Below are 9,772 nucleotides of genomic sequence, written 5' to 3'. Positions count from 1 at the left end.
AGTGTTACAGCTCTTAAGGTGGCGCGTCTGGAGTTTGTTCCTTCTGATGTTCGGACGTGTCCGGAGTTTTTTCCTTCTGGTGGGTTCGTGGTCTCGCTGGCTCAGGAGTGAAGCTACAGAGCTTTGCGGTCAGTGTTATAGCTCTTAAGGCGGCACGTCTGGAGTTGTTTGTTTCTCCCGGTGGGCTTTTGGTCTTGCTGGCTTCAGGAGTGAAGCTGTAGACCTTCACAGTGAGTGTTACAGCTCATAAAAGCACTATGGACCCAAAGAGTGAGCAGTAGCAAGATTTATTGCAGAGCAAAAGAACAAAGCTTTAGCAGTGTGGAAGAGAACCCGACTGGGTTGCCACTGCTGGCTCGGGCAGCCTGCTTTTATTCTCTTATCTGGCCCCACCCACATCCTGCTGATTGGTAGAGCCGAGTGGTCTGTTTTGACAGGGTGCTGATTGGTGCGTTTGCAATCCCTGAGCTAGACACAAAGGTTCTCCAAGTCCCCATCAGATTAGTTAGATACACAGTATGGACACAAAGGTTCTCCAAGGCCCCACCAGAGCAGCTAGATACAGAGTGTAGATTGGTGCATTCACAAACCTTGAGCTAAACACAGGGTGCTGATTGGTGTGTTTACAAACCTTGAGCTAGATACAGAGTGCCGATTGGTGTATTTACAATCCCTGAGCTAGACATAAAGGTTCTCCAAGGCCCCACCAGAGCAGCTAGATAGAGTGTGGATTGGTGCACTCACAAACCCTGAGCTAGGCACAAGGTGCTGATTGGTGTGTTTACAATCCCTGAGCTAGACATAAAGACTCTCCACGTCCCCACCAGACTCAGGAGCCCAGCTGGCTTCACTTAGTGGATCCCGCACCGGGGCTGCAGGTGGAGCTGCCTACCAGTCCCGCACGGTGCGCTTGCATTCCTCAGCCCTTGGGTGGTCGATGGGACTGGGCGCCGTGGAGCAGGGGGTGGTGCTCGTCGAGGAGGCTCGGGCCGCACAGGAGCCCTTGGAGTGGGTGGGAGGCTTAGGCATGGCGGGCTGCAGGTCCCCAGCCCTGCCCCGCGGGAAGGCAGCTAAGGCTCGGTGAGAAATCGAGCGCAGCGCTGGTGGGCTGGCACTGCTGGGGGACCCAGTACACCCTCCGCAGCTGCTGGCCCGGGTGCTAAGTCCCTCATTGCCAGGGGCCAGCAGGGCTGGCCGGCTGCTCCGAGTGCGGGGCCCGCCAAGCCCACGCCCACCCGGAACTCCAGCTGGCCGGCAAGCGCGGCACACAGCCCCGGTTCCCGCTCGCGCCTCTCCCTCCACACCTCCCCGCAAGCTGAAGGAGAGGGCTCCGGCCTTGGCCAGCCCAGAAAGGGGCTCCCACAGTGCAGCGGTGGGCTGAAGGGCTCCTCAAGTGCCGCCAAAGTAGGAGCCCAGGCAGAGGAGGCGGGGAGAGCAAGCGAGGGCTGTGAGGACTGCCAGCACGCTGTCACCTCTCGGTTTTACTTTATTTTAGGATAAAATATCTATTGTGAATTTTAAAAACATGTAAAATAAAATTTTAATTAAAAAGCCTAAATGTTCTTTTCCTATTTATCCTGAAGGAAATTCCTGTTGATGGCGCATTTAGGAACTTATTTATCCCCTGAAGACCTGAGCCCTGCACATATCAAAACTGTACATTCCTTGTGGAGCAGTCTTCTCTTTTGAAATGTAGACACTATTTCCCTAATCTTCAAGCCAGCCATTGTCACTCCTAGTGACACTTCCATTGGATAAGCTCCTTACTCTCACTGAAATTGGCCTCAGAGTTGCAGCCAAGCATTGGGAGCCATGGCAGAAGTCATTGTGGGGTTTGCACCTGGCTGATGTGGAAGGTAGTCCTGAAAGGTAGTGTGTGACTAAGTGGGCTCTGGAGGGCAGGGATGTGCCTGGTGAGAGGAGAACAAGACAGATAGGAAGGTTCCAAAAGAAAACTTCAGGGGTCCCTGTGCCCAACATCGGGATTTAGAAAATCTTCTCCCAGCCACTTTTGACCTGCTTTCATTCCGCTTTCCTGTCTACCAGGCCATTGCAGGCAGTTCCTTCATTGAATAAATATTTATCAAATACCTACCACGTGCCAGGCATTGTGTTTAAGGAGCTGGGGCTGAGGTAAGAGGAACCAAACCCCCCTTGCGCTCAAGGTTGTCCCAGTCTTGCTCAGGCAGAGATCAGTCAGGAAATTGTAACACTAATGGTTGGCAGGACATGTACACATGCTTTGCAAACTCACAAGTAGACCATCTTCTCTGACCTAGGAGTCACAGAAAGTTCACAAAAGAGACAATGTTCAAGCTATGTTTTGAGGTGTAAGTAGGAGCCCAACAGGCACCTGGGACAAGAGAGCATTGCTCAGAATCCAGAACATGAATTTCTTTCCCTGGGCCAGGCCAAGAATCAGACTAAGCTGACTGAGGAGCCAGATGCTTCCTGGCAAGAAAGGGTGTCCCACATCTGACTATTCCAAAATCACAGCTACTCAATGTTGAGACTTAAGACAGACAGAAAAAGAGAAAGGCCTGATTCGAAAAGCAGAATTCTCCAGGGGTGGGGGGAGGTTAAACTGCAGTTTCTGATATAATATGTGTGGGCCAGGCCAGAGAATTGCATTTCCTTTTTTATTTATTTATTTATTTATTTTGAGACGAAGTCTTGCTATTGTCCCCCAGGCTGGAGTGCGATGGCGCAATCTTGGCTCACTGCAACCTCCGCCTCCCGGGTTCAAGTGATTCTCCTGTCTCAGCCTCCCAGGTAGCTGGGATTACAGACGCCTGCCACCACGCTCGGCTAATTTTTTGTATTTTTAGTAGAGACAGGGTTTCACCATGTTGGCCAGGCTGGTCTCGAACTCCTGACCTCAGGTGATCCGCCCGCCTCAGCCTCCCAAAGTGCTGGGATTACAGGCGTGAGCCACTGCGCCCAGCTGAGAATTGCATTTCTAACAAGTTTCCAGGTGATGCCAGTGCTGTTTGTCCCAGGACTACACTTTGAGAATCACTGCCCTAAAGCAACCTGGTTTGATCTCTAATAACAGAAGAGGACTGGGAGAGCACTATGAGGCAGAAGTGTAGGATAAATAAGACCATACTCTGCCCATCCTGGAGAATTCGCAAGCCCAAGGCTGCAGCATTTGAATTCCTTGGGAGTCCCGGGAATTGCAGACACCTAGGAAGAAACTGAATGTGGGTCAGAGGGTGATGCATGCTCTCTGCTTCACACAGCACCTGGGGTTCCTGCCACTACACAGTCTGGCCCCCACACCCTCAATCCTTCCCACCCCTCCTCGAAGCATTGACCTGCAGGACTTACTCTACTGCCCTCAGCTGTTTGGGCCTGGTATATGACCCTAGGCGCTCCTACCGTACCTTCTGATCCAAATACAGGGTGACCTAGTATGACAACTATTAGCAGACTCATAGGGATAACAGAATGGGCTAAGAATGAGAATCTTTGGTTGCGCACGCCTGTAATCCCAGCCACTTGGGAGGCTGAGGTGGGAGGATCGCTGGAGCCCGGGAGGTGGAGGTTACAGTGAGCAGAGATCAGGCCACCAACATTCCAGCCTGGGCAAAAAAGTGAGACTCTGTTTCAAATAAAATAAAATAAAATAAAAAGGCCGGGCATGGTGGCTCACACCTGTAATCCCAGCACTTTGGGAGACCAAGGCCAATGGATCACTTGAGGCCAGGAGTTCCAGACCACCTTGGCCAACATGGTGAAACCCTGTCTCTGCAAAAAATACAAAAAGTAGCCAGGCATGGTGGCATGCACCTGTAGTCCCAGCTACTCCAGAGGCTGAGGCAGAGAATCGCTTGAACCAGGGAGGCGGAGGTTGCAGTGAACCGAGAAGATTGCACCACTGCACTCCAGATGGGGCAACAGAGCGAGACTCTGTCTCCAAAAAAAAAAATAAATAAATAAATAAGAATCTTGAAAAGTTGGCAAGTGGCTTCAATTACATGTCCCCCAGAATTACAAGTGTTTTTTCTAAATATCACATCCTTGGGCCCACATGGACACCAGAGGGCACCCTGAGCTCACTGAAGCCACAACTGTCGCATTAGACCATTAGAATCCCTTGTAAAGGCCAGGCATGGTGGCTCACACCTGTAATCACAGCACTTTGGGAGACCGCGGAGGGTGGATCATCTGAGGTCAGGAGTTCGAGACCAGCCGGGCCAACATGGTGAAACCCCATCTCTACTAAAAATTAGCCGGGTGTGGTAGCATGCACCAGTAATCTCAGCTACTGGGGAGGCTGAAGCAGGAGAATCACTTGAACATGGAAGGCAGAGGTTGCAGTGAGCCAAGATTGCATCCTTGCATTCCAGCCTGGGCAACAACAGCAAAACTCCATCAGAAAAAAAAAAAAAAAAGAATCCCTTGTAAAGACTGCGGTTTGGCTGGGAGCAGTGGCTCATGCCTGTAATGCCAGAAATTTGAAAGGCTGAGGGTGGGCCACGGTGGATCGCTTGAGGTCAGGAGTTCAAGACCAGCCTAGTCAACATGGTGCAACCCCATCTCTACTAGAAATACAAAAATTAGCTGGGCATGGTGGCATGCAACTGTAGTCCCTGCTACTCAGGAGGCAAGAGAATTGCTTGAGCTCTTAAGGCAGAGGTTGCAGTGAGCCAAGATTGCATCACTGCACTCCAGCCTGGCCAACACAGCAAGACTCCATCTCAAAAAAAAAAAAAAAAAAAGGAGTGATATAATTTTTAGACAATTTTTTTTTTTTTTTGAGATGGAGTCTCGCTCTGTCACCCAGGCTGGAGTGCAGTGGCACGATCTTGGCTCACTGCAAGCTCTGCCTCCCGGGTTTACGCCATTCTCCTGCCTCAGCCTCCTGAGTAGCTGGGACTATAGGTGCCCGCCACCACACCTGGCTAATTTTTTGTATTTTTAGTAGAGACAGGGTTTCACCGTGTTAGCCAGGATGGTCTCCATCTCCTGACCTCGTGATCCGCTTGCCTCTGCCTCGCAAAGTGCTGGGATTACAGGCGTGAGCCACCGCGCCTGGCCCCAGCTACAATTTTTGTTTTCTCTTAATGAAGGTAAGAGAATTCTATCAGGCTGAGTTTTTTTCTTAAATTTTCACTATGAGTTTTTTGGGTTTTTTTCCTCCTTGGAATTACCTTTTGTGTTTTCACTTGGTTAAAAATTCAAAAGGTTCAAAAGGCAAAAAGTCTCTGTCTTGGCCGGGTGCAGTGGCTCAAGCCTGTAATCCCAGCACTTTGGGAGGCCGAAGCAGGTGGATTACAAGGTCAAGAGTTCGAGACCAGCCTGGCCAACATGATGAAACCCCCGTCTCTACTAAAAATACAAAAATTAGTCGGGTGTGGTGGTGGGCATCTGTAATCCCAGCTACTTGGGAGGCTGAGGCAGGAGAATCACTTGAACCCGGGAGGCAGAGGTTGCAGTGAGCCGAGATCTTGCCATTGCACTCCAGCCTGGGCGACAAGAGCAAGACTCCGTCTCGAAAAATAAATAAATAAATTAATTAATTAAAGAAAGAAAGAAAACAAACTTAAGACATTTGTTCGGGCTTGGTGGCCCACGCCTGTAATTCCAGCACTTTGGGAGGCCGAGGCGGGCGGATCACCTGAGGTAAGGAGTTCGAGACTAGCCTGGAAAACATGGCAAAACCCTGTCTCTACTAAAAATACAAAACATTAGTGGGCATGGTGGCAGAAGGCTGTAATCCAGCTACTTGGGAGGCTGAGGCAGAAGAATCACTTGAACCCGGGAGGCGGAGGTTGCAGTGAGCTGAGATTGCACCATTGCACTCCAGCCTGGGTGACAGTCAGATTCTGTCCCAAAAAAACCAAACAAACTTAGACGTTTTATGCATATGCAAGCAAATATAAGTGTGTGTGTATATACATATAATTTCCCTCTTTCCACATAAATTTTAGCAAACTACATATGCTTTCCTTCATCTTGTTTTTTTTTTCTTTCTGAGACAAGGTTTCACTCTGTCACCCAGGCTGGGGTATACTAGTATGACTACCACTCACTGAAGGCTTGAACTCTTGGGCTCCCCACTAGCTGGGACCACAGGTGTGAGCCACAACACCTGGCTTTTTTTTGAGACAGAGTTTCACTCTTGCCGCCCAGGCTAGAGTGCAGTGGTGCGATCTCGGCTTACTGCAACCTCTGCCTTCTGGGTTCAAGTGATTCTCCTGCCTCAGCCTCTGGAGTAGCTGGGAAATCCCATCTGTACTAAAAATACAAAAATTAGCCAGGCGTGGTGGTGCACACACCTGTAGTTCCAGCTACTCAGGGGGCTGAGGCAGAAGAAATGCTTGTACCTGGGAGGTGGAGGTTGCAGTGACCTGAGATCTCACCACTGCACTGCAGCCTAAGACAGTGAGACTGTCTCAAAATTTAAAAAAAAAAATTTTTTTTAAAGAAAGAATGAACTACTGATAGGTGCAACAACATGGATGGATTACATAGATATTATGCCAAATACAAAAAGCCAGACACAAAAGAGGCCATACCTATGCATGCATTTATAGGAAGTTTTAAAACAGGCAGCCCAGCACAGTGGCTCACACCTGTAATCCCAGCACTTTGGGAGGCCGAGGCGGGTGGATCACCTGAGGTCAGGAGTTTGAGACCAGCCTGGTGAACATAGCGAAACCCCATCTCTACTGGAAGTACAAAATTAGCCAGTCATGGTGGCTCACACCTGTACTCCCAGCTACTCAGGAGGCTGAGGCAGGAGAATCTCTTGAACCCAGGAGGCAGAGGTTGCAGTGAGCCGAGATCGTGCCATTGCACTCCAGCCTGGGTGGCAGAGTGAGACTCCATCTCAAAAAAAAAAAAAAATTAGGAAAAACTGCTCTATAGTGATAGTCATCAGATCCATGGCTACTCAGGGGTAGGGCAGAATCAAAGAGGGCAAAGAGAACTTTCTATATCTTGACAGGGGTGTGGGTGACATGTACTTGTCAAAATTCATTGATGGATTTGCTAAAGATCTGATCATTTCACTTTTTGTAAATGGTGAAATTTTAAAATAAAATTTTAATAAATTTAATAAATTTTAAAATAAAAATATTTTTGCTGGGCACGGTGTCTCACGCCTGTAATCCCAGCATTTTGGGAGGCCAAAGTGGGTGGATCACTTGAGGTCAGGAATTTGAGACCAGCCTGGCGAAACCCTGTCTCTGCAAGCAAATACAAAAATCATCCAGGTGTGTGGTGTGTACCTGTAGTCCCAGCTACTCAGGAGGCTGAGAGAGGAAAATCGCTTGACCCTGGGAGGTGGAAGTTGCAGTGAGCTGAGATCACACCACTGCACTCCAGCCTGAGCAATAGAGGGAGACTCTGTCTCAAAAAAATAAAATAGGGTTGGGGACAAAGGGAGGGAGAGCATTAGGACAAATACCCAATGCAGGCGGGGCTTAAAACCTGGATGACAGGTTGATAGGTGCAGAAATCACCATGGCACATGTATACTTATGTAACAAACCTGCACATTCTGCACATGTATCCTGGAACTTAAAGTAAAAAAAGTAATAATAATAATTTTAAAAATAAATAAATTAATTAAACAAAAATATTTTAATGTTAATAATAAAAAGTAGCCGGGGGCTGTGGCTCATGCCTGTAATCCCAGCACTTTGGGAGGCCGAGGTGGGCGGATCACCTGAGGTCAGGAGTTTGAGACTAGCCTGGCCCACATGGAGAAACCCTGTCTCTACCAAAAATACAAAATTAGCCGAGGGTGGTGGCAGGGGTTTGTGATCCCAGCTACTCAGGAGGCTGAGGCAGAAAAATCACTTGAACCCAGGAGGCAGAGGTTGCGGTGAGCTGAGATTGTGCCATTGCACTCCAGCCTGGGCAACAAGAACAAAACTCCGTCTCAAAAATAATAATGATAATAAATAAGATAATTGTGCCAGGTGTGGTGGCTCACACCTGTAATCTCAGCATTTTAGGAGGCCGAGGTGGAAGGATCACCTGAGGTCAGGAGTTCAAGACCAGCCTGGCCAACATGGTGCAACCTCATCTCTATTAAAAATACAAAAAATTGGCTGGGTGTGGTGACTCACGCTTGTAATTCCTGTACTTTGGGAGGCCAAGGCAGGTGGACCAGTGGACCACGAGGTCAGGAGATCGAGACTATCCTGGCTAACACAGTAAAACCCCATCTCTACTAAAAATACAAGAAATTAGCTGGGCGTAGTGGCACATGCCTGTAGTCCCAGCTACCTGGGAGGCTGAGGCAGGAGAATCACTTGAACCCGAGAGGTGGAGATTGCAGTGAGCCAGATCACACCATTGCACTCCAGCCTGGGCGACAGAGCGAGACTCTATCTCAAAAAAAAAAAATACAAAAAATTAGCAGGGCACACCGGGCACGGTGGCTCAAGCCTGTAATCCCAGCACTTTGGGAGGCTGAGGCAGGCGGATCACAAGGTCAGGAGATCGAGACCATCCTGGCTAACATGGTGAAACCCCGTCTCTACTAAAAATACAAAAAAATTAGCCAGGCGTGGTGGCAGGCACCCATAATCCCAGCTACTCGGGAGGCTGAGGCAGGAGAATGGCATGAACCCGGGAAGCAGAGCTTGCAGTGAGCCGAGATCACACCACTGAACTCTAGCCTGGGCAACAGAGCAAGACTCCGTCTCAAAAAAAAAAAAAAGAGTACTGAAGTTCCAAAGGAGAGGATAAACAGGCTGCACAAACAACTTTCGCAGAGTAGATACGTAATCAGTGACTTGAAACACCTGCTGGGCACTCAAACTAGGCCAAAGGAAAGAGAAACAGAATGAGTATATGCTATAAGAACTGGAGATAAGTAAGATTCCTTACTCATATCCTTATCTCCAGTTCTTGGCACATAATGGGCACTCAGTTTATTGTTAGGTGAATAGGCTGCTGTGGAGAAAGGTAAATAAATGATGGAAAAAATTACAAGGGGAATTAACTAATCTGTACACTAAACCCCTGTGACAGGAAATTTATCTCTATAACAAACCTGCTCATATACCCCTGAACTTAATATAAAAGTTTTTAGGCCAGGTGCGGGGCTCACGCCTGTAATCCCAGCACTCTGGGAGGCCGAGGTGGGCAGATCACCTGAGGTCAGAAATTTGAGACCAGCCTGGCCAACATGGTGAAATCCCCATCTCTACTAAAAATACAAAAAATTAGCCAGGCATGGTGGTGCATGCCTGTAGTCCCAGCTACTCGTGAGGCTGAGGCAGGAGAATCACTTGAACCCGGGAGGTGGAGGTTGCAGTGAGCTGAGATCTCACTCCAGCCTGGGTGACAGAGTGAGACTCCGTCTCAAAATAAATAAATAAAATCGGTGAGAAGCTCACTTCCTAAACCACAAACCCTCCTCAAATAATCAGAATTGTCTACTCTCATCTACCCTGCACCCCGTACTCTCCCTCTCTCCACAGTGGCTGAAAGAATGATGGGGAAGAGAGGAAGAAGAAATTGCCTTAGGCCTTCTCCCTCTTCTAGGGTCTCTGTCTTTCCACTATTTTCTTTTAAAAACTTTTTGCTTTTTTTTTTTTTTTTTTTTGAGACACAGTCTCACTCTGTCACCCAGCCTGGAGTGCAGTGGCATGATCTCGACTCACTGCAACCTCCCCCTCCCAGGTTCAAGCCATTCCCTTTCCTCAGCCTCCCGAGTAGCTGGGACTACGGGTGCGTGCCACCATGCCCAGCTAATTTTCGTATTTTTAGTAGAGATGGAGTTTCACCATGTTGGCCAGGCTTGTCT

The 9,772-nt window shown here is 48.7% G+C and overlaps 2 annotated features.

Annotated features, from left to right (window-relative positions):
• Positions 273-1,155: an enhancer, noted in NCBI's record as "OCT4-H3K27ac-H3K4me1 hESC enhancer chr6:31163380-31164262 (GRCh37/hg19 assembly coordinates)". NCBI's record gives its function as "activates a minimal SCP1, AML or CMV promoter by ChIP-STARR-seq in primed H9 embryonic stem cells {active_cell/tissue: H9 hESC(primed)}" and the evidence as "EXISTENCE:reporter gene assay evidence [ECO:0000049][PMID:30033119]".
• Positions 5,866-6,367: an enhancer, noted in NCBI's record as "OCT4 hESC enhancer chr6:31158168-31158669 (GRCh37/hg19 assembly coordinates)". NCBI's record gives its function as "activates a minimal SCP1, AML or CMV promoter by ChIP-STARR-seq in primed H9 embryonic stem cells {active_cell/tissue: H9 hESC(primed)}" and the evidence as "EXISTENCE:reporter gene assay evidence [ECO:0000049][PMID:30033119]".

Source organism: Homo sapiens, chromosome 6, assembly GCF_000001405.40.
Source record: "Homo sapiens chromosome 6, GRCh38.p14 Primary Assembly".
In the NCBI taxonomy this organism is placed as follows: domain Eukaryota; kingdom Metazoa; phylum Chordata; class Mammalia; order Primates; family Hominidae; genus Homo; species Homo sapiens.
Note: the sequence above shows the minus strand (reverse complement) of the source record. Positions and strands in the feature narration are given on the sequence as shown.